Raw genomic sequence first — 24728 nt, forward strand, 5'->3', positions numbered from 1 at the left:
GTGCCTGCCAGCCCAGGTCCCCCAGGCCAAAGGGCAGGTCTAATCTAGGGATGGGCCCACCCAGCTTGTGAGGAACACTCACCCCAGCGTGGGTCTTGGACCTGGTGAGCTTGAAGGGATAGAGGGAGAGTGGGGCGGGCAGTAGGAGGGGCAGGCCCCACCAGCTAGTCTTGGGAGGGAGGAAGCCTCATTGCTTTGGCAGGAAGTGGGGGCGGGAGTAAAGGAAGCAGTCCAGTTCCTCCCCTTCCCACCTCTGTCCTGGTCTGATGATGACTAAAATCTTTGAGGCCTGAACCTCAGAGGGGAAGGAATGGAGCTCCCCTCTCATGCTGATGTCTGACATGCTAACATGCCCAGGATCACACAGCCAATTCACACAAAAAAACAATTTCTAAAAAAATTCCTCCCAATCTCTCTAGGCCCAGCAACTGTCTTTTTAACCACTCCCCCTAACCCCACAGTCTGCTGCAAACAACAGAAAATGAGCTTTTGGTCCCTTGAGCCTATGGTCCGCGGTTGTTTCACATTATCTCAGGGATATAGGATTTCTCTGACGGTTTTGCATCCCCCAGCCCCAACCTCTACTGAGGATTAGCTCTCTTCGGGAAGTACACGAAACACTATTTTCTATTAGTGGATTAGCCACCAGATTAAGGAATCTTGGCTATTTACCTTGCTCATGGCTTAAAAACAACTCCTTTTAAATGAACACAGCTCTCTTTTCCATATCACTCTTTCCCCCAAAAGGAGAAGCTATAAAAAGTGGGTCCACTCAGACCATTCATAAAACCGGATGCTCCTGGGACCCATGGGGTGTTGCTCACACCCAAAGGGAGGACCTGAGCCACAGCCCCACTGACACTGGGGTGGGTTCAAGCACATCTCTGCCAGCCATGTACAGGCCACCAGGGAAGCCAAGTGTCTGACCGGGATAGGCCCCAAGGTGTAGGACACCAGTCATGCTTGGCCATAGGCTTTGCTGGACTCTGACTCCAGGGTGAGTCCAAACAGGGCTGAGCATGGGGTGTGGACCTTGACCTTGGCCGCCTTCTGCAACCCATTTCTTCAGAGGCTGACTTTTCCAACAATCCATATAAAGTAGTTAGTTAACTACTTTCCCAAGACCCAGCAAGACATGATCATCCTAAGCCAGACATCTTGATAGCTTGCTGGAGGCCTGGAAGTCTCAGTATAGCCTGGCGAGTCGGGCTGCAGCTACCACCCAACAAGGCCACCTCCGGGAGGAAGAAGGGCACAAGCCACCAGGGATGGAGTCTCAAGGCTCCCCCATCCTGCCAAGCATCCACTGATCCACAGTGGGAAAACCTGAGCAATCATCTTAGCGAGCTTTCTGGAGCCACTGGCTGGGCCCAGATCAGAAGGGCAAGGGGCACATAATTGCTTCCCAAATGCCATGCTAAGTTCAAGGCTTCCTGTGCTTCCTCTGCTTCCTCAGCCATGGCCACTGTGGGCATGATGAGGTTCTATACCCATAGTACAGGCCTGGATCAGGGCCCTTTACAGAGCGCATGGGAGGAAGCAGCAGGCCCAACTACAGCCCTTCCTGGCCCTGCTGTGGTGGTGCCTCATTCAGGAAAGCACCAAGAGGTCACGGGGTCAGCTGTGATGAAGTAGGCTGTGGCTTGCTTAATCTCAGAGCGGTGCAGGCCAGTTTGGGGCTCCTGTCATAACACAGGCCCCTTTCTTGTGGCCTGTGTTTGGCCTTTCCTTGGAGGGCCCAGGTCCCCGAGGAGCAAGAGCAAATCATGTGGAGTCCCCTCCCTTCCTCTTCTCAGAGCAAGCCTAGATTCAGCCCGAATGAGATGTCCCTGCATGGGCCTCTCTCCCTGCTCCCAGCCTCTGCTCTCCACCACCTGCTCCCTCCCGCCATCTCCCAGCCCTCCCCCAGCCCTCCCCCATCTCCAAGCCAGCTCAGAGCCTCAGAAGAAATCTCGTATGACCGACCATGAACATTCCCAGGCCCCAGAGATAACCACGGCTACTGTCGAGCCCATCTGGCAGGCAGGGGCCTTCAATCTGCAGCCTCTTTGGAAGGGGGTGCTTTCTGCCACAACCACAGACGGGATAAAAGATAGAAAACCAGAGTTTTTTGCCTGACCCCCATGGGAGCTGCCACCCAGTCCCCCTGCAAACACGAGCTTGCCCGTTTTTGAGTGCTGTTCGCAGGCTGCATGTCACGAAGGAGGCAGGGCACTGGCCCTGACCTGCGACTTGGGGAAGACACAGGCTCCCCTGTCCCGCCACATTTGCAAAGCCAGAGGAGCCTTTGGGAAAAATGCCAAAAATAGTAACAGGGCTGGGGAATCACCAGGGGCCCAGGCAGACAGACATTTCCCCCAGTCCCTCTGCCACCAAGTGTGTCCCTGGCACAGAACAGACAGTGTCTTGAGTCCCCTGTCCCCCAGAAGTAGCCTCTTAACAGAAGGAAAACAAGCCTCTTGTTTCCAAACCCCCACAAAGAAGTTCAGGTTGTCCTGAACATGACTCTGGCCAAAAGGGCAATCCATGAAGGTCCACAACAAGGAGGGTGGCTACATCCACTCTGGACCAAGCAGGTGAGCTGGCTAGATGTGCTGATGCAGAGAGGGGGCCCATTTTTGCAGAAACAACCCACCACCACCCTTATGGCCCTGTCTGCGAGTGGAAGCAGTGTTAGGAGGGCTGCACACGCCCTCCTGGGATCATGGGAAGACGCACTGGGTGACTTTCACTCTATACCCTCCCAACAAATTCTGTCTGGGTGCACGTGGGAGGACCGATCCCCATGGAAAACTGTATAACTATAAAATTGGGGGTCTATTTCCATAAGCAACAGCAGGTCCTCCCAGGAAAGAGGGATACAGAGAGCCCCTGAGAGTAGTGAGGCAGCTTGGCCCACATCAGGGCCAGGCACTGCCAACTTCCCCACCAGTGTGGAACCAGATGCCTCACCTGAGCAGCCCGTCAAATAGGAACTTCCAGGACTACCATGGGGGTGGGGGTGGGGGAGCAGGTTTAAGGTATCTCAAAGCAAATAGGCCATTCTCTATCCCCAAAGCAAACAGGCAAAAATCCTTGGCCTTGTTGAGTTAGGACAGCAAAACGCAATGACTTGAACACTTAACAAAATCGAATGCCAAAGAGACCCAAACAAGCAGGGCTGGTGGGCTTGCTCCCTGCCTGCTCCCCACCGCATGCATTTTCAAGTCCTGGAGCCCAGCAGCCTCCATGAGTCACAGGAACTGGAACGTGACATCACAGCATTGCTGTGGCCAGCCTGAAACACTGGGTGCCATAAAAAAACAGTTGGAGCAGGAATTTCATGGCTCGGTATTTTTAAAAAGCAGCAAGACGTGAAACTGGAGTCAAAAATAACTTTGCTGTGGGCTTCTGAGGCAAAACCACCAAGCCGCGTGTTGGGCCTATGCCGGGCCCCCTCACAGCAGCCTCCCCAGCTCCTGGGTCATTGTCCACACCCCAGAGATCCACCCCCTTGCCCTAAGGAAGGCCCAGGGCCTCTGCAACTTCCAGACACCACTGAAACCTGTTACTCCTGAGGGCAGCTGAGCACTGTGCAGCAGCCCTCTGGCCTCTTGAGGGTCCATGAAGGAAGCCACAGAGCCAGCGTGGAGGTGAGCTCATGTAGCAGTGGCTATTTGTGGAAACAGCCTCTCTCCCTGCTCACTGGAGAAGTTTTCCGGCATCTGTGAAAAAGACCCCTAGATCACCTGGCATCACCCCCAAGAGCACAAGGGGAAACAGTACCAGGGTCAGGCCCAGGGCCTCTGCTTGCACACCTACTGAGCGCCCATCCCTGGGCAGGCAGGCCTAGCAGCCTCGGGGTCCGGCCTAGAGTCCTCCAGGGGTGCTCAGAATGGAGGAGCCTGGCCTGGGGGGCAGGCAGATGAAAAGGCCCCAGGGGAAGTCCTGGCCCCATGTGAAGAGGCTGACCTCTGCTGCCCACCCCATGGGACAGACAGACAGAGGGGCAGCGCTTAAAATCTCCCCTTGGTGGAAAGCCAAAAAGAGGCAGAGATGGGTCTGAGCAGCTGCAGTTTCTGACTCCTTGTCTGGGTTTTTCTCTGGAAGCCTTGGGCCTCTGGGGTCAAGCCAACTTTCTCAGAAGACTTGAGGTAGGCCCAGCAGGTGAGTGACCCCAGGGCAGCCACAGGACAGGCGTGTGCTCTCTCCAGAGGGGATAGGGGAGGGGTGGGTCTCAGGACAGGATCAGAGCAGGGCCCTTGGACCCTGAGGGAGAGGCGTGCGATCTCTCAGTGGGGCGGGGAGCTCGCAGCATGTGACGCCCACGCTCCTGACCTCAGGCCTAGCAGCTCCTGAGAATTCCCATAGGGGGCTCAAGGAACAAAAAGCCCTCCAAAGAAAATCTTCAGTTCCATTGTTAGGAAATACATGTTCCCTAAAAAGCATTACAATATCTACATTCAAAGAACAGAAGTATCACATACATCTTCAAAGAGCTTCCATCTTGGGCCCTGTTGCCTAGGTCCAGGTGGAAGGGTCTGATCTAATGGGCCCCATGACCCATGCCTGATTTTCAAGTGTCTATGTGCACCCCAGTGCCTCTGTCACCTCCTGTGCCCTCCTCCTTCCCGGGGTTGGGGAATGACTTCTTTCTCCCCTCTCTTATCCTCCTGCCTAGCCAGACACTAGAGTCTCACTGGCAACTCAAAAGCATTTCTGGGACTTGAGTCCAGCGGTATGGGGACTGTGGAATGTCCACTCCTGTCATTCCTGTGCCACAAGCCTGCCCCAGTGCTTTCCCATATTGCTCCCAGGAGAACATCGACTCACTGCTGTGCTTCACAGAACAGCTGGCACCAGTCTAGCACACTCAGTTAACCAAGAGCCGCACAGCAGAGCTCAGAGGACCCAATGAGGCATCTCTCCCCATTTTACAAGGGAGGAGACTGAGGCTCTGGGATTGATGTCACCTGCCCAAGGTCACCCAGGTGATGAATGGTGGAGGTGTGCCCAGGCTGACAGGCAGGTGGCTCACTGGGTGAACAGAGCAGCCCTGAAACTCAAGGAGGAACAGTTGCTCCCCACAGCTGGTGGGGATGTGTAAAGCTGAACAAACCCCAGCTGCTCAAAGCATGGCATCAGCTGGGATCAGGGCCCAGAGAAGCTTAGCGAAGAAACCAGTGATGCCCCAAACAGCAAGCTCAGTGTTTACTGGGGCAAGGAGGGGTCATCCCCACACAGGGGCAGGCCAGGGCAAGGATGTGTCTGCTCTTTGGCTGGTGACCTAAGGGACTCGGCCTGCTGGGCTCTCTGATCACAGAGCCCTGGGCAAGAGCTTCTGGCCTTACCTTTCAGGGAGGTCAAGTTTGGTTTGCAGAATTTCTTGATGAAGCCATCCCTAACTGCACCAAAACTGTTTGGCAAGGGAAGCTAGGGATGCTCTGGCCCACAGTGGTTGAGATCAGGATCACCTGGCCTCCTGGAGAAGCCCCAGGCTGGCTGGACCCCGAGGCTGGTCCAGGCACAACAAGCCATTATTAACACATTATCTGCACCTGGCATGATGTTGCTGCCATGTGCCAGGTGGGAGGATAAAGTGAGGTCCACAAAGGGAAGTCCTTGGAAAGTGGCAGGCCTCAGATAAAAACCAGGAGGATGAAAACTATGATGAGTATGTGATCCCCACACTCTGAGGACTTTTCATCTAAAACAACTACGTGGGGAGGCCTGAAGACTGCACCTGCTCGGCTCACAAGGTCACCCCAAAGTCTATTTTCCCCATATAAATACACTTTTGAAAAATAATGTATGGATTTTATAAAAAAGGCTTTCATAAAAAAGTAAAACACCAACCCCATTTCTGGAGTTAAAGGGTTTCTGATGCTGTGCAAGTCCCAAGGGCAGTTTGGTTTCCTCTTCATCTGAAAGGCCTCTTGGCCTGGGAAGGCTGGGGGAAGCTGCCCCACTTGCTGGCTTGCTCCGGAGACCAGGAGCCTTGCAGGGGCCAGCCAAAGTGCTGTTTGTCTCATCGCCCCTGGGATGGAGCCATGATAGCACTGCCCTTGCTCGCGTCTCAACTTCTCTGTGTCCCCATCTCCACTCTACCCCAGACCCTCAGCATGGGTCAGGCCTCGACTTTGCCTAGTGTCCCGTCAGGTGAGGGTGAACTCCTGGGCTGCTGCTTCTGTTACCCCACACCAGAGGACCCATGGCCTTGACCCGGTGTCTGGACTCCCACTTGTTTCCAGTTATTCCAGTTGCCAGCTCCTCTGGGGAGGCCTGGCTCTGACCTTGGCAGATTCAGTCCTGAGTTCTTCCTGAAGGTGGGACTGGGTCTCACACAGGGCCCACCACACAGAGTGGGCTCAGTGAATGTGTGTGCATGGAAGGAACCTGCCACCTCTGCTCTGAGGGCCAAGGAATGGCTCTCCTGGGTAGGGAAGGGTCTAGCTTCATGAGGCAGTGGAAAATTGGGAGAGCTATTTCTGGTGCTGTCATGCAGATCCCCCTGGCCCCCAAGCCTTGGATAACGACAATGGCAGCAACAGGAGCAGCACCCAACACATCAGCAGTGCACGGCGTTGTCAGGTACTATTCAAGGAGCTTCCCAAGAGGCCTATGAAGTGGGTATTATTATCAGCTCTGTGTTCCAGATTTGGAAAGTAAGGCACACAGACTCAAAGTGACTTGCCCAAGGTCACTGAGCTAGGCAATGGGGAAGCCAGACAAAACCTGAGCCACTCCTCTCCATTGGCTCACTCAGCTTCCTGGCTTCCAGGCCTTTCCTTTACACAGAGGAGCCGCTGAAGGGGTCACCCTGGGGAGGACTGAGATTGGGTCCCTGACCCTCAGACTGGTGCCAGACAGGCCACAAACATCCACAGAGGTGACCTCGCCACATGGGGCCATACCAGCCTGTTGAACAGGAAGGCAGGCTTTGAAGACTGTGAGCCTCTGAAATAGGGTGTCCTACCCAGGGGCTGGAGACTCTGTGACTCACTCAGAAAACATCCCTGGCTACGGCCCGCTGCATCCCCATGGCTCTCCCCTAGAAGGATGTTCTGCAGGATGGAGGCCTGAAGGACCCAGAAGGCAGCTTCCCTCTCAAAGGCCACTCTGAAGTAGACTTCCCTGTGGGGGAGGGAAGGGATGGTGGAGGCAACAGAGGAGAACAGCACAATTCACATGGATGACTTTGTAGTAGGAATCAGTGTTGGGGTGGCTGGGCATCCTACCCCTCCAGAACACAAAGGCTCTTCAGGACTGGGCAGATGGCAAGGAGTGCTTGCTGATGGGGTGGCACCCGAGACCAATATCCACAGACCAAGTAGGAAGCCCAGCTGAACAAGCCGCTTGGGAAGATGGATGGTGGTGGCCGCCTGGCACTAAGCTTCAGGGGAGGGCTGGGTCAGTCTGGACCATCCAGAGCGGGGCCTGCTGTGGGCCTGCCTCTGCTGGGCCAATGCCAAGAGAAAGGCACAGGGAAACTTTCAACCCCCTGGTGGAGATAGCTCTGGCTGTGGCTGGAACATCTCAGCTAGAGAAAGCCCCATCTCCAGGAGAGAAAGGTTGGCCTAGAAGACAACCAACAGTCAAGCCCAAGGAGAACTTGCCAGGATTAGCACAAAGGTGCTATGCACAGTTCTGAAAATGGGTTGAACTTTAAGGCCTCAACTGGTGCTTCATCTGCAGAACTCAAGTTTCCTCGGGACGCATTGAGTCCGTCAAGAACATGCCTCGCTTTATGGCATCCAGAAACACACAGACACTGTCAGTTTTGCAAAGCAGGTGACTGGCTGATATTGTTGGCATCTGGTCGGGGGTGGCCTGCCAGTTGGATTTGCAAAGGGGCTGAATGGTGTGAGGCAGGACCAGGGTGCCACAGAAGCATTGAGACATCTAGACACCCAGCCATGGGCCAAAGGCCACAGGCCACAGGCCAGCCTTCACTTACTCTCTGCGATGCAAGTTTTTTAAAAGTTACTATCATACTCCTAACTGTGAACACATAACAAAACCTTCCATGTGCACCCCTAAAACACAGTGACAGGAAATGTTTTTAGTGTTATACTCCTCTGGATCCAATGAAGCTATTTTTAACCACCTTCTCAGACTTAATTTCCAATTTTATCCTATAAAGTTCTAATTGATTCCACCTCCCCTAATCTCTCACTTGGCGAGGCTGTGAAAAACATGAGGCAGTTGCTGACGGGTTTGAAGTGGGGTGGCTTTTAAGTCTTTGCATGCTGCTCACATCTCTCTCAGCACATGCCTTCTTCTCAGGGCTTAGCAGCCTCTCAGCAAGGTCTGTACACTGGGCCCTGGAGTCCCACAGCCCCCAGTCATGACACCTGGCCTTTCCCTTCAAGAGTGCTTTCTTCAGTGGGCCCAAGGTGTGCCATCCCAGCTGGGCTATGATGACACACCCTGGAAGAGCTTTTCTCACTTAGCCCACGATCCCAAGCTGGGGAAAGGATACCATGCCATCTCAGCTCCATTTCCGTTAGTGACATCAAGGGTCCTTTGCGTCCTTCATGTGAGCTGGACTGGAGACCACTCTTCCTTGCTTCCCCATCCCCCACCCCCTGGCTTTAACACCTCTTTTCCTCGTGGGCCACATGTGTCCCTCTTGCAGCCTCGCTCTACCCATGTGCTGGCATGGTAGAGGAGGATCTGCAGAGTCCCAGCCTGGCCTCAAGAGCCAAGGAGATGAGGAATTGGGGAACCTCTAAATCCTGCCTTGCCCCCCACCCCAAGACCACATATCCACATGACAGCCACCTGGAGCTTCACTCATTCCCTGGACGTGCCCATGGCCTCTCCAGAGCCACAGGCAGCCAGGACCTCTCTTCCTCCCTCGGGTGAAATGGCCCTGCCAAGCATGCCCCTATTGCTGGCCACCACCTCTTGTCAAGGGATTTTGCTCTTACTGAAACTGCTACACTACGAGCCTGTGTTATGGCTGCCAACCTACGCTCCAGAGGGCAGGGCCCATATCCATCTCAGTGACGAGGGTGGTCAGGGCCACAACTAACATTTATTGAGCAGCTACCTAGGGCCAGGCATGGGCCAAACATTTCCCAGATTCATCTCCCTTAATTCTCACCATGAATGTGGCAGGCAGAGCCCACAACCACCAGCACATTACAGATAAACATACCAGGGCTTGGTGAACTAAAGGGATTTCCCCAAGGTTGCACAGAGGATAAGGAAAGGTCCAGGCTCAAACTCATAGCCTAGGTTCTCAGAAGCCCTGACTCACTACTCAGTTCCCTGGCATGCCCCTGCAGTGCCCATCCAGCAAAGAGTGGGAGGAATAAACAAACACAGTGTTTCTTTCAAAGCTCTTCAGTGGCCCAGGCCAGCTCTAGGTGAGCACACTCCAGTAGTACCCAGCATTGGGGATTTTGGAGTCTAGTGGTCTGGCCAGGGCTTGAATGGCTCCAAGAGCCAGGATCCCCGGGAAGGCTCTGCAATGTCATTAATATGGACTGGAAAACAGGTCCGTTATAATTATGTTTTTAAAAATCCAGCACCTGTTGTCCAACTTCAAACGGTCCAAATGCGGGACCAAGTGCAGATGACGGGATGACGGGTGAACCCACAGTGTGGCCTACCTGAGTGAGGACATCCAGCTGGCCCACAATGTGCTCCAGCGTGCTAGTCAGTGTCTGGGGCACACTCACGGGCTCCTGGGGCTGGCTCTGCACAGACTCCACACTCCTGCCTCTGCCTGGGGGGACAGGGAAGTCCACTTCTGGCTAAAGACAGAAAGAAAAAAGTTCCTCAGTCTATCCAGTGCTTGAAGAAATACTGTGAGAGGAATAGCCCCTCCAAAGGATGAAAGGGAAAACCACCAGCAAATTTGAGAAGGTAAGCTCCAAGTGTCAGTAAGAAACAGCAGCGTGGCGGTGTTCCCACATCTGGGTCCACACACATACCTTTCCAGGCAGAGGCCTTAAGTGGGGAGTGGAATCAGAATGCCTTGTGATCCAGGCAGGAAGGGGCCTGGGGAGGAGGGCAGGTAGGCAGGCCAGTGAGTGGCCTCAGCCTGCTCTTGGAGCCCCTCAGGGAAGCTAGCTGCCTCCCATATCTTCAAGCAGCTGGCACCCACCAGCAGGCATCCAGGTGAGTCCAGAGATGCTGAAGCCTGGCCTGGGCCTGAAGTCCCTCCTCTTCCTGGTCAGCTCAACTCTAATTCCCCACCCTTCAACATGGGGGTGTGCCAGGCTTCACAAATGCCTTTCCCAGGCCCAAGAAGCTGTGGCCCAGAACTTGGTGGAAGTGTGTGTGTGGCGGGGAGAGGGGTGTTCCAACCCCACCCTGGCCCAGATCCCCTGGAAAAACAAAGATTTCTGTGTGCATGTCCCAGGCTGGCACATGGCTGGCAGGAATCAGACTCCACAGGAAAGGCACCCCTGGGCTGCTTCAGATAGGACTCCAGGAGGTGAGGGGCTTAGTGTTTCTGCGTAAGGCCCTTCAGCCCCTAAATTCAGCAAAGTCAGCTCCTTGCCTTATGCACAAAGGCTTCTGTGGACCGAAGAAGTGCTGTGCACATGTTCAGTGGGCGGGATGCTGGAGCCAAGGATGTCCAAGGGCAGGGCTGGTCTTAGAGCCTGCAGTTCCTCTGTGGACTTGTTCCTGTGGGAATGTGGTTCAGCACATGGACCCTACCTGCATGTTTTCCTTTATTAGGTAAGTATTCTATTCTCATAGATCACAAACTTTCAAGGGCATGCTGATTTGAACTTGGAAAAATGCTGGCCCTCATGGTAGCTACAGGAGAACTTGAATGTGAGACATGAGCCAGAGGGATGTTCTTGACAGCATGAGCAGCACCGTGTCCACACACCTATCATCAGCATGTCGGCCACTTCCGTGGCCATTTCTAAGACTTCGGCCATCAGGGCTGGGTCTCTTCCAGTCCTCCAGGAATCAACGTGCTTCAGATCTCAATGCTTACCCAGAAGCCCATCCCAAAAGGAAATTTCAGAAGTCCACCAGCCTTGCCAGGAGAGACTTCAGCCTACCACAGTGGCCCCCAGACTAAGGCAGTTCTGTCAGGAGACACAGCAGAGTGCAGTGGTGAGGAATGGTGACTCAGACAGTCACTGACCAGCTCTGGGCCTCCATTTCCTCATCTATAAAATAGGGATGAAGACTGGGCCAGTCCTTCAAACGGCTGGGCTGTGAGAGGTGCTTATCTGAAGCTACCAGCAGGCCTTTCTTAAGAAATGTTCAGTGCTGTGCCCACTCCTTCCAGAGGACCCCCTAGCAGTGCAGACACACACTCTTCCACTGGAGGAAGGGTGTGAGCAGGGAACTCTTCTGTCCCACAGCCAGCATTGTCATGGAATGGGCCAGAGTCTGGTGCTGCTGGCTGCTTAGGAAGGAGGGAATGGAAAATGTGAGTTTCTGCAGAATGGCCCAGAAATGGACAGTGCTGAGCTCAGCCTCTGGAAGCACAGTGGATGCTGCAGGGAGGCAGGGTGAGTACCACTGACTTTAGCAATAGAAACCCTCCTGGATGAGCCAAAGCTGAGCCAGCTCCAAGGGAGTATTAAAGACAGCGGCCATGGCACTCCAAGCTGGAGAGGTGGCCTTTACAACAGAGGGTTGCGGCAGCCACCATGTTTTCCCACCTATACCACACTTTCATGGGCTGTCTCCATTTGACAATAAAGAGAACTAAGGCTCAGTCAGAAAACGACTGTCTAAAGGTAACCAGCCTCAAACTCTAGTGCTGCCCTGAGCCATTTCCCTGCCTCCTTGCCCACTCCCATCAGAAAACACCACAGCACTTAACACTCCACCAGTCCAGCAATCGCCATGGTTTACTTGCCATCCACTGTGTGCCCTCATTTAATGTCACCTCACTTAATACGTGTAACCTCACTTCATCCTTATGATGGCCCTTCCCAATAGGCATTATTAACCTTATTTTTCAGATATGGACCCTTGGGCTCAAAGAGGTTAAGTAACTTGTTCTAAGTTACCCAGCAAATAACAGAATTGGGATCTGAACCCAAAGTGCAGGCTCTTCCCGGACATGAGACAGCCTCTGGCAGGTGACATTGACTGCAGCTGGGCTTCCATGTGCACAGTTCCTCTCCAACGTCCCCATGGAGGCCTCTGAATCCTAGGTCTAATGCTTTTTGCGTCACTTCCCCAACCCAGCTGCCCTGGAATGATTGCCCAGCACAGAGCTGAACTCAGAGCAGGCCCTCCACAAACACTCAACACCTCAAAGAGCAGGGCCCACCGAGGTAAAATTCCTGTGTAATGAATCCTCCCCAATGTCTGCACTGCAGCAAAGGGCCAGCAGCCCCACCCCTCACAGCTCTGTAGCCACTCACCTGCATGCCAGCACTCTGGAGCTGTGGCATTTCCCTGAGAGCTGGGCAAATAAGCAAGAAAGCAGAGATAAGAAAATGACACACAAGAGTGGGAAGAGACAGTCGTACCAGAGCCATGAGTAATGACAGTGGCAGAATAACCCAAGCAGCATTTAAATGCAAAAGTCACATCAGCATTTTGTCTGTTCAACATCAAAGAGTCCTAGGGGTTTTGCCTGGTGGTTCTCAGTTAAGTATAACATGAATAAAATAACACAAAGAGGCCAGACACGGTGACTTACACCTGTAACCCAACCACTTTGGGAGGCCAAGGCAGGTGGATCACTTGAGGACAGGAGTTCAAGACAAGCCTGGCCAATATGGTGAAACCCTATCTCTACTAAAAATACAAAAATCAGCCAGGCATGGTGGTAGGCACCTGTAATCCCAGCTACTCGGGAGGCTGAGGCAGGAGAATCACTTGAACCCAGGAGGTGGAGGTTGCAATGAGCTGAGATCACACCACTGCACTCCAGCCTGGGCAACAGAGCAAGACTCCGTCTCAAAAGAAAAAGTAATGCTCACTAAAATAACAACAAAGATTAATCCACACATATACTCGTATAGGCCTACACCAATTCAACAACATTTCACTTTTGCCAAATATAAACATCTTAATACCAAAACAAAAAAAGGTGACTCTCAAGAGATGGCTCTAACTTTGGGAAATATCACTTGGGGTCTGCAGGTGTCTCCTCTCATGCCACCCTGGGGTGGGACTCTGGCCTCTCACAGTTGGTTAATGTGTTGCCCACCTCAGTTCCTGTTTCCTCTGCTGCCTGCTTTTCATACACCACCAGGAGCTCATCACTTCACACACAGTAGGAATTGCCTAAATGTCTGTGGCTGATACTCAGCTACCCAGACACATGAGGAACCAAACCATAACATTTCATTAAAAACAAAAGAAACAGCTTGTAGATCTTCCTTGTGACAAGAAATCAACCCATCTGGAGTTGACTTCTTGAGAGGTCTCTGAATTGACCGTGATCTCCCTCTTCCATCAAGATACAAGTATGGATAAGGAGCTGCTGCCTAGGATATATAAAGCTGGGGAAAGTGTTAATTCCTTCCTAACAAGAAAAAGACTGACAATCTAAAAGAATCATAACTTCTCTTAAATCAGAGAGCTGAAGTCACAGAGCAACCAGTAGCCTGAAATCTAAGGAAAGACAGACACTTCCAAGGAAAATAGAAAGTGAGCATCAGCTGTGGGTCACCTATGGCAAAGCATGAGGAGAAGAGACGCCAAATACCATACGAGTGGGTAAGTTACAGTTTTAACAAACTGCTGGAGACCAAGCGCAGACTAGGGTAAGAGTGCAGAACCCCCAGGTGCCACAGACACAAGTAGAGCTTGCACCCATGCACAGGTTCTCCTCCACAGACCTCCACTGGGCTTTCATGACAAAAAAAAATGGGGGCAGAACAGTAGATGGAAGAAAACCGTTCTTGGAGGTGCAGGCCTAGGAGAGGAGAGTGAGTAAGGAAAGGTATGAAGCCCTGCCAGGACCTCTCCCCTGTAGAAGAGCATCCTGAAACTACTAGGGAAAAGCAAATATAAAAACACCTCTTCCCTTGAGGGAGAGGCAGGAAACTATCCTGAGCTGAGATTATCAAGGTCTCCTTTGAATGAGGAAGGAGCAGGACCGCTAAGAATGTCTCACTTTTGAGACCCAGGGAGACAGAGTCTGCTTAAGACTGAAGCTGGGTCAAGACAACAGGGCCCACCCCAACCCTCAGCAAAAAAAAAAAAAAAAAAAATATCAAGCACCAAGCAATAAGCAACAGCAGCCTATCTAGGGAGGAGGGCCAAGAACATGGAAAAAAGCATGCCCCTCTGAGGGGCATGCCCACAGGGCTGGCTGAAAGGTGAGAGTGAGGAAAATGACTGAGAAAATCCTCCATCAACCAGACCTCATCCTAGGTACGTTAGGTAACACTAAACTAAGCTCAACTCCTGATAAGACTATTTACCTCAGTCTTTACTGTCCTAAGCATGATGCCTGGCATTTAATAAAACATTATGAGACACAAAAAGGCAGGGAGAAAAAAAAACCCCACTGTCAAGAGACAAAGCAGTCAGTAGAAGCAGACTCAGATGACCTAGATGTTGAAACTATGAGATACAAAATTTAAAATAACTATGATTAATATGGTAAAGGCTCTACTGAATAACACACATGATCAAATGGAGAATTTCAGCAGAAAGGCAGAAATTATAAGAAAGAGTCAAATGGAAACAACAGAAATAAGAAACCCAGTAACAGAGAAGTATGGCTATAATGGGCTCAATGGGAAAATAAATTAGTGATCTTAAAGATAGATCAATTCCTCAAACTGAAACACAGAGGGATAAAACAGAACAGAGCTTCCATAAGCTACAAGACAATACTGTCTCTAACACATGGACAATTGGAATCCTAGAAGGAGAAGAGAGAGAAATTAGATATTTCTTATAATACAAATTTGCTGGTAAAAAATTGTCAGCTTTGGTTTTTCTGGAGGGGAAAAAAAGGTCTTATTTCCCCATCATTGCTAAAATATTTTTGCTAAGTACAGAACTTTGGGTTGGCAGTTTTTCTTTCAAACTTTAAAGATGTTACTCTTTCAGTTTGTATAGTTTCACGAGAATTCTTCATAATTCTTACATTTGATCCACATATATATGTCTTTTTTTCTCTGGCTACCTTCAAGATTTCTTTCTTAATCCTTGGTTTTCAGAAGTTTGAATATAACTCATCTAGGATTTTGTTTTGTTTTGTTTTTCTCCAGCTTGTTTGCTGTTTCTCTGAGCTTCTTGGAACTATGGTTTGATGCCTTTCATTATTTTTTGAAAATTCTTGGCCATTATCTTTTCAATAGCACCAAAACAACATGAAGTATATATTATTAATAGTTTCCTAGGGCTGCTGTAACAAATTGTCACATTTGATGGCGTAAAACAATCTAAATTAATTCTCTCACAGTTCTGGAAGTCTGAATCAAGGCAGGGCCACATTTCCTCTGGAGGCACTAAGGGAGAATGCTGCCTTCCCTCTTTCAGCTTCTGGTGGCTCCATAATTCCTTTGCTTATGGCTACATAACTCCAATCTCTGCCTTTGTCTTCACATGGCATTCATCTCCTTTCTCTGTGTGGCTCTCTTCTGTGTGGCTCTTCTAAGGATACTTGTCATTCAATTTAGGACCACCAATCCAAGACGATCTCACCTTGAGATTCTTAATTACATCCACAAAGATCTTTTCCCCCAAGTAAAGTCATCTTCACAGTTTCTGGGGGTTAGGATGTAGACATATCTTTCAGGGAGGCTCCCATTCAACACACTACAAAATGCTTTAGTATAAATCTAACAACATATGTGCAAAATGTGTATGTTGAAAACTACAAAACACTAATGAGAAAAATTGAAGACCTATACCAATGAAGAGATATATCATGTTCACGTATTAAAGGCTCAATGTTGTAAAGATGTCAATTTCCTCCCAAATCACCTATAGGCATCAAGAAGTTGATTCTAAAATTTACATGGAAAGGCAAAGGAACTAGAAAAGCCAAAATAATTTTGAAAAAAAGAATAAATTAGAGGAATCACACTACATGATTTCAAGACTTAGTCTAAAACTATATTAACCAAGACACTGTGGTATTGGTAAAAGGATAGACACGTACATTAATGGAACAAAGAGAATCCAGAAACTCTAGACCAGTATCCGGCCAGTTAATTTTTAATAAAGGTGCACAAACAACTTAGTACAGACAAGTTAGTATTTCCAACAGTTGATTAAACAACTGAGTATCCACATGCAAAAAAATGAACTTCGGTACATACCTTGCACCACATACAGAAACTAATTCAAAATGGATCATAGACCTAAGTGTAAAATCTAAAACTGTAAGGCCGGGTATAATGGCTCATGCCTGTTATCCCAGCACTTTGGGAGGCTGAGGCAGGTGGATCATCTGAGGTCAAGAGTTTGAGACCAGCCTGGCCAAAATGGCAACACCACGTCTCTACTAAAATGCAAAAATTAGCCAGGTGTGGTGGCGGGCACCTGTAATCCCACCTATTAGGGAGGCTAAGGCAGAAGAATCGCTTGAACGTGGGAGGCAGAGGTTGTAGTGAGTCGAGAATATGCCAACACATTCCAGCCTGGGCAACAAAGCAAGACTTCGTCTCAAAAAATAAAAATAAAAAACAAAAAACAAAACCTAAAACTATAAAACTGATACACATTTTTCCTGTAAAACATAGAAAATCTCTGTGACCTTGGGTTGGGTATATTCCTTAGATATGACACCTAAAGTATGATCCATAAAAGAAAAAATTGATAAAATGAACTTCAAAATCCAAAACTTCTGCTCTTTGAAAGAGCAGAAATGTTAAAAAGGATGCTCTACATCATTAATCATTAGGATAATGGAAGTTAAAACCACAGCGACATACAACTATATGCGTATTAGAATAGCCTAAAGGTAAAAAAAAAACTGATCATGCCAAGTGTTGGAAGGGAGGTGGAGCAACTTGAACTCTCATATACTGCTGGCACGAACGTAAGATGGCATAACCATTTTGAAAAGTTTGACAGTTATTAAAAAGCTAAACATACACCTATTATATGTCCCAGCCATTCCACTCCTACGTATTTACCCAAGAAAATGGAAGCATATTTCCATAGAAAAATATGTACATGAACGTTCATGGCAGCTTTATTTATAATAGCCAAAAATTGCAAATAGCCCAAATGCTCACCAACAGAACAAAACTGTGGTATATCCATTTGATTAAATAAAAAGGAATGAACTACTGATACATATAACAATGTGGGTCAATCTCAAAATAATTAGACTGAGTGAAAGAAACCAGACCAAAAAGAATACATAACTGTATAATTCCATTTATATCATAGTCTAAAAAATACAAACTAATCAATAGTGACAGAAAGCAGATTAATGATTGTCTGGGGCTGGGGGTGGAGTGAGTAGACTGACTACAGAGAAGCAAAAGAGAACATTTTGGGATGATGGAAAGATTCTATATCTTGATTGTGGTGGTGGTTACATGACTGTTTCTGTCACAACTCAGAGAACTGCTTGCTTTCTAAAATGGTGAATGTTACTATTCGTAAATTATAAAGCCGGACTGAAAACAAAAAACATGTGGTTACAACTAAAATGTCCTTAGGGGACCAACCTACCCATCACAGGACACAGTTGACACCGTCCATCACTGCCACTCTGCCCTCAAGGTGAAAATCACCAGCTCTCCACTGGGCATTACCAATGGGCCAAACCCAAGGCTGAAGACCCCAGGTGAGGCCCACAAGGTCCATCATCAGTCTGGGAATTACATTTTCCAAATGCAAAGCCAGAGTCATAACTCAATGCAGTTCAATTCCCAAAGCCCCAGTTTCCCAGTGGAATTTGAGAGAGCCGCAGAGATTCCCAGGCAGGGCCTCCCAAGCAGCAGCCATGCAGTCCATGGAGTGTCAGGCCTCCGCTGCTTAGGAGTCTGTACACAGCTTGGCAGTCAGGAGCAAGGTCTGCACACACCTGGTCAGCAGGCTGGAGCTTGAGCAGAGATGGAACACACCCCTCTTAGGGGTTGAAATGGACAATTCTTAACACCTGCTCAAGGTGGAACTTTCTACTTTTCTTTTAATTTCTAACACTGGACCATGCCCTTTGTCCAGCCCGCTCCTGAAACTGAAACTGTAATAAACAAAAGCATCCAGGAACTGGTCCAAAGCTTGATTCTAGGCAAGAGAGGGGAGAAGAAGGTGACCTGGGGCCAAGAGCTGGACTATCTCACTCACCCTTCCTGTACAGACCCAGGTGAACAGCATGTCTGACCACTGCTCACTGAAAACCAAGGCATGTCACTACATTTCCAAAGCAGGGCTGCCCTGTGCAAAACTGGAAGAAATGGACACAAACACACCCCCATGATTAAATATTTTCAACTGAATCTTCGATTGGACTGTTCACTGTACAGCCTGCTAACTGTGGATGAGGAGACTCACAGACACAGATGTTTCTTAGTCCTGGCCTCAGGCCTTTGACAATTTGCCTTCATGAAAAGTTGACAGGCAGCCATGTCTGTCTACCTCCATGTTTGCTAAACCTGCCCCTGGGGAGGGAAGCAGGGAACACACCGAGCTCACGTGGACTCAGCCTCACGTCCATCTTCTCAAGAGGAAAGGCACGGGCGTTTTCTCAAATCAGAGCTCAAAAGAAGCCTATACCGAATTCACCACACATATCTGCAGACTAGATACACTACAGCCTTATTTGCCCTGTAATTTAGGGTTCTGGCCTAGAATCCAACAGGAGAAGAAACTTCTGATTCCAAACATAGTCCTGAACCCAAGAGAAATTCTGCTTTCCTAAAACCATCTAACTTTTGGCAGTCCTGCCAGTCCTGCCTCCAGGCAGCCTGAGCATGAGGGTGGGGTTTGGTCCCACCTCTGGCTTTCATCTAGGGGGTATGAACATGCAGCGTGCCTTTTCACATTCCCCATGCCAGACTGCGAGTAGGGAAGGTGCTAGGTCATTTTTGAAAGTTCAGGCCGGGTGTGGTGGCTCACGCCTGTAATCCCAGCACTTTGGGAGGCTGAGGCGGGCGGATCACGAGGTCAGGAGATCGAGACCATCCTGGCTAACACGGTGAAACCCCGTTTCTACTAAAAATACAAAAAAATTAGCTGGGCGAGGTGGCGGGCGCCTGTAGTCCCACCTACTTGGGAGGCTGAGGCAGGAGAATGACATGAACCTGGGAGGCGGAGCTTGCAGTGAGCCGAGATCGCGCCACTGTGACAGAGAGAGACTACGTCTCAAAAAAAAAAAAAAAAAAAAAAGAAAGTTCAGAGACATGGGGCCTGGAGGTCCACAGTCCACACGGTAACCTCCAAAACCAAATCAAATGCTCCACAACTACAGATCACAGTCAGGCCTCAGAGCCACCCCTTGACCTCAGGCCCCTGCCTATGGGAAACCAACATGGTGTCCTTTGGATTAAAACTTGTGAAGGGGCCAGGTGTGATGGCATGCGCCTGTAGTCCCAGCTACTCATGAGGCTGAGATGGGAGGATCACTTGAGCCCAGGAGTTGGAGGCTGCACTGAGCTATAATCCAGCCTGAGTGACATTGCAAGAGATCCTATTTCTAAATAAATAAATAAAATAAAAATCGTGAAGGGGTTGAGGGGTAGGTCTAAAATGAAGGATGGGGAATCTGCATGCCTGACCAACCCCTGGATTCCAGGCCTTGTCACACACAGAACCAGGACCACAGACCATCTCCCCGTCCCCTCTCAGAAAGTGGTCCCTTTGAGGCAGGGATCACAGGTGCCTGTCATCCTATTTCACCTGTGTTGCTCGCAGGCCTTGGGCATGTAGGAGATGCTGTATGCACAAACCAAGACTCTGTTCTCCTCACCCAGGCCCATGGCAAGATGGAGGACCTGCCCCAGGGCTGTGATGGCCACTCCTGGGCTTGACCCCCATCAATCTGCTGACTCCCCAGCCTCTCTCTGCAAGCATTTCCAAGAATTTTCCCCCACACAAAGGGGTGATTTTTCAAAACAGTGAAAGGATTGCCTTGATAGGCAAGAAATGGCAAGTTATTTGGTGTCCGACATGCCCCCAGGAGGAAGAAGTTGATCTGAGAGGTCTATCTTACTGAAGTGACACACAGAGGTGAGGGAAGCCAGGAAGAAGAGAGCGAGATGAAGCAGGGAGGTGACGGCTAAGTAACTTCAAACCAGTAGAGGCAGTGAGGAAGCAGCAAGAACATGCCTTGGCATGTGCGGTTCCTTCCCTGGAAGGGTTCAGAGCGGGCTGGAAAACAACCCCAGCCTTTAGAAGCTGGAGCCCTCCAGGTCATCACACTTGTTACAGTGAGAAATGCACACAAGGGTGTGGGGCAGCAAGGTGGAGCCGGTTTTAGGAACACAGAGGGGGAGGACTGCATGGTGGAGGCTAGGAAGCCTCAGGAGGAAGCAGGTCCATCCTGGGCCAGGCCCACACTCCTGCTGAGTCTGTTCTGGAGTTCCTGGAGCAGATGCACCTCTGGAGCATCCTCAGAAACCACCACACAGGCAAGCAGGCAACCCGCCCTGCCCAACACCTGTGTGGGAGCATTCTCTCTCAACACACACCCGCTTCCTTGAGGGCGGCTCTGGTTCAGTTCAGCTCCACGTACACTCCCAAGGGCTCACTACGAGCTGGTGCTGAGTATCTTAGGGTTACCTACCCAATACCTGGAGACAAAAATGCCTACCCTCCCACAGCACATACCTGAACCGAGGTACCCTGGTAGGGAGATCAAGGATTCCGATAAAGCCCAAGTGCTGACTGTAGATTTCTTTTATATTAAACTGCTTTGAACTAATTTTAGAATTGGAGAAAAGTTGCAAAAAATAGTACAGAGAATTTCCATATATCCCTCTGCCAGTGTTAATGTCTTACACAACCATAGGACAATGATCAGACCAGGAAACTAACACTGTGACAATACCAATAACCAAAATAGGGACCCCATTTGAACTTTACCAGTTTTTCTACTAATGTGCTTAGATCCTGATGTTCCAGAATCCTACCGATGCATTTATTATGTATTTAGCCTCCTCCCATCTGTGTCAGTTCCTTAGTCCTCCCTTGTCTTTCATGACCTTGACACTTCTGAAGAATATTGATCAGTTATTTTATCAAATGTTCCCTGACTTGGGTTTTATCATTAGATTCAGGTTATAAATACTGGACACCACCAGAAAAGTGATGTGCACAGTAACACAGGGTTCACATGGAAGGGCTTATTACAGGGAATGTTGACCTTGATCAATGGTGACACTGACCTCTCTGCCAGGTTTCTACAATGCAAAGTTACTATCTTTCCTGTGTAGTTAATTTTTGGGGACTGTGGATTTTTGAAAGGGAATGTGTTGCTGTCATTACAAACTCTGTGTGTCAGCTCCACTTGCAGCTGCCCCACAGATGAGGCATCTAATGAAGACGAGCGGCAGAGCCGACATCTCTGGGAGACGCCACAGCTCTCAGTGACAAAGAGGAACAGTAGCGGTTTATTTATAGATCCACTTGAAGACAGCTCATTGTAACTACTGGAGTTGAATTTTTAAAACCTCGGAACAAAGGCTGGCTATTTTAAACTCTCCTTGCACTTAGTTCAATGGAGAGTGTTAGAGCCACCGACCACACCCCAGGCATCACTCCCAAGCTCCGTAATTCATACTTTGTGCAGCATCACAGGACACGAGCAAAGCCTGCCAAGATAGATAACCAGGACTGGCTCTACCCAACCCGCAAAAGCAGCAGCCCTCCACCAGAGCCCTCAGAACCACCAGAGCAGATCAGCCAGAGCCCTCCACCAGCAGCCCCACGATTCCCAGGGAGGAGTTGCAGAAGGCTGTGTCCCATGGGGTCAAACAGCCTCTCCTTTCCTGGAAAATGAAGTCGCAGACAGCTGTTATGAACCAAGGTTACATCACGTCTTCCCTTCCCTCCCCCTGCAGGCTTCAAAGACAGCCAGTGCCCCCCAGCGGATGCCTGGCCCAAGATAGCTGGCAGTAGCTAGCCCACCTGTGCCTGACCCACCTCCAGGAAGGAGCGAGGAGCTCACAGTACCAAACTCTCCTGGAGGACATCAGGAGTGTGGTGTGAGCCCAGACGCGCCCCCTTCCCCAAGCCCAAGACAGCTCCAGGCCAAAGCCCCCTCAGCTACTCCGCCTACCAGAACCATGGGTCGGGGAAGGGGGAGCAGAGAACATGGGTTTTCTCAAAGCTTTCCGCATCCTTATTTGAACAATGACACAATGTGGGAAAATGTGAATGTGGACTAGATATCTGATATGAAGGAACTATTAATTTCATTGGATGTGATAAGAGCACTGCTATTATATAACTAAGAAATGGCCTTATTTGGAGTAAAAAATGATATATCTGGGATTTTTAAAACCACTCAAACTCTTCTTTAAAATGTGGGGGAAACAGATGAAATGAGATTAGCAGAATGTTGAAGCTAGGTGAGTGGTACATGGGGTTTGTTACATTATTCTATCTTTTGTGCTAGCTTGAAATTTCCACAATACAAAGGTTTTTGTTTTGTTTTGTTTTGTTTAATTAAAACAAACAAACAAAAAAAAAAACCTTCCTGGTGACTGAAAGGAGCTGCGGAGCTGATCCAAGGCAAGTGGGACTCCAAGAGGAAGCTCAGCCACAGGATCACCTCCACTCTGGTGTCCTGGGATTTGCAAGCATAGGAGGCAGATGACTTTGTCTAAGTCCACGGAACGTTCTGACCAGCCTTTAGCACTGCCACAGAGAAAGCCCCTGATGGCAACGAGTACTCAGCGAATCCTGCAGCAATGTCCGGACCTTCAAAGAAACTAATTGTAAGATAATCTCCATGGAAACCATCTATTCTGATTTTTTTTCCATGGCAACCAATAAGAACATAAACACAAGCACTATCCAACACCCTTACACCACATGGCAATGCTGCTGTCCAATCTGGAAAATATAAACCACAAAGGGTTTTTTTCCATTTAAAATGAAAAGAAGTTCTGAAACTTCTAATCTAGGCATGCAGACTCTACCACCCTCTGTTGCCCTGCCACTGCCCACACCACCCCATGTCATCTGCCCCCCAAAACTGACAAATAAGGCCAGAAGGTAGCTTCCTTCTTTTAGTCTGAGACCATCAAAAATGCCAAAAGGAAAGACAGCCCGCCTCTAGCCTCACACACTCAACTTATGCTGCCCACAGACGTGAGAATGCTTTGACTTCCTGAGCATTTTTTATGTGTCAGACACATACTGAGCACCATGGCAAGAGCAAGGCCCCAGCCCTCCAGGGAGAAAAGTTAGGTCTGTAAATAACAGACAACAGGAGAGCGGGGCTGCTCCAGGTAGGAGAGTGCTCCAGGCAGGTGGAGCAGGAAGAACTCACCAGCTGCCAGCCTCCCAAGGAAGCCTGCATGGAGGAGGTGCCATCTGGAAAGAGACTATAAGGATGAGCGCAACAACACTAGGAGCAGTGAATGGTGGCCCCAAAAATCAGTCAGACTTAAGCGACAGGTTTATTTCTACCTGTGGCTCATTTATTTCATTTTCAGGTTTCTGAGCTTAAAAAAATAGAATGAAAACAAAAGAACAAAATAAAAGGGAAGAAAGATCCTTAAATGCCAAAGCCCTCGGTTCTTGTGCACCCTCTCTGCTTTGCAGCAAACAATTGTTACAAGACGATTCTTGTGGCCTCTGTGGGCTCTCCTGTGGAGAGGTGATGATGGGGCTTTAGATTGCCTGTCATCACTATTGGCAAAAAGGCAGTGTCATAGCAGTGGCCCCAGTGTGTGAAGCAAAAGGTCCTTCAAGGCATGCAGCCTGGCTCTGCCTGGGGCCATGTGTGCCTTGTAGGAAAGCATCACAGTGTTGAGACTCCACTTTCTGTCCTGTGACTCAGGTTCATTTCCCCACATGCACATGTGGAAGCTCCAATAACCCTAAGCCCAAGCTTTGGCTGCCAGGGGAAAAGGAAAACCCAAAACAGTTCTGGAACTCTCGAAAGAGATAACGAAGCTCTCAAAGGAGTGTGTGTGCCTGGGTTTATATGCCAAATGTGTACTGATGCACGCAGAGCTGGACCCAAGGGCCTCCAGCCTTTGTCTGAGTTCCTGAGTCAGGTTGCTCTGTCTTCCTGATACTGTGATTGTCTTAATATGCTTTTCCCTGGATGTCTGAGAACACACCTCCCATTGGTTTAAGTCATTAAATAGGCCTTCCTTCCTCAACATCATGAACTCTCCTCTGGAGAGGAACCTACTTGCTTTTAGAATGGATGGAAATTTTTCTAGTGACAGGAAACACCATTAGCCCCTCAAGGGGGCAGTTCAGAGAAGGGAGTTCTGGCTTCCACTCCAACCTTGCCACCTCTACCCTAATCGCTGTTTCAGGGCTTGTCTCTGCTCTTGCTACCTGGAGGCACCTCTTCAAGAGGCTCTGCAGGCCGGGCACGGTGGCTCATGCCTGTAATCCCAACACTTTGGGAGGCCAAGGCGGGCAGATCACCAGAGGTCAAGAGTTTGTGACAAGCCTGGCCAACATGGTGAAACCCTGTCTCTACTAAAAATACAAAAATTAGCCAGGTGTAGTGGCAGGTGCCTGTAATCCCAGCTACTCAGGAGGCTGAGGCAGGAGAATCTCTTGAACTGGAAGGAATAGGTTACAGTAAGCCGAGATCGCGCTATTGCATTCCAGCCTAGGCAAGAATGGCTAGACTCTGTCTCAAAATTAAAAAAAAAAAAAAAAAAAAAAAAGAGGCTCTGCAAATAAGACCT

General features: G+C 49.5%; 1 protein-coding gene across 10 annotated transcripts in view; it reads right to left on the reverse strand.

Moving 5' to 3' along the window:
• POC1A (POC1 centriolar protein A) overlaps positions 1 to 24728 on the reverse strand; it is a 79198-nt gene that overhangs the window by 11744 nt on the left and 42726 nt on the right. For 4 of the 10 annotated variants that reach the window (XM_011533560.2, NM_015426.5, XM_047447907.1 and 1 more), the window contains one exon: positions 9600 to 9743. The exons of 4 other annotated variants lie outside the window; for them this stretch is intronic. In XM_011533560.2, coding sequence (XP_011531862.1) covers positions 9600 to 9743 — 144 coding nt within the window. Of the gene's footprint in view, positions 1 to 9599; positions 9744 to 24728 lie in introns of those variants that run through there. 2 more of the 10 variants (XM_011533563.2, XR_007095660.1) reach the window with 2 other exon arrangements.

Source organism: Homo sapiens, chromosome 3, assembly GCF_000001405.40.
Source record: "Homo sapiens chromosome 3, GRCh38.p14 Primary Assembly".
Lineage (NCBI taxonomy): Eukaryota > Metazoa > Chordata > Mammalia > Primates > Hominidae > Homo > Homo sapiens.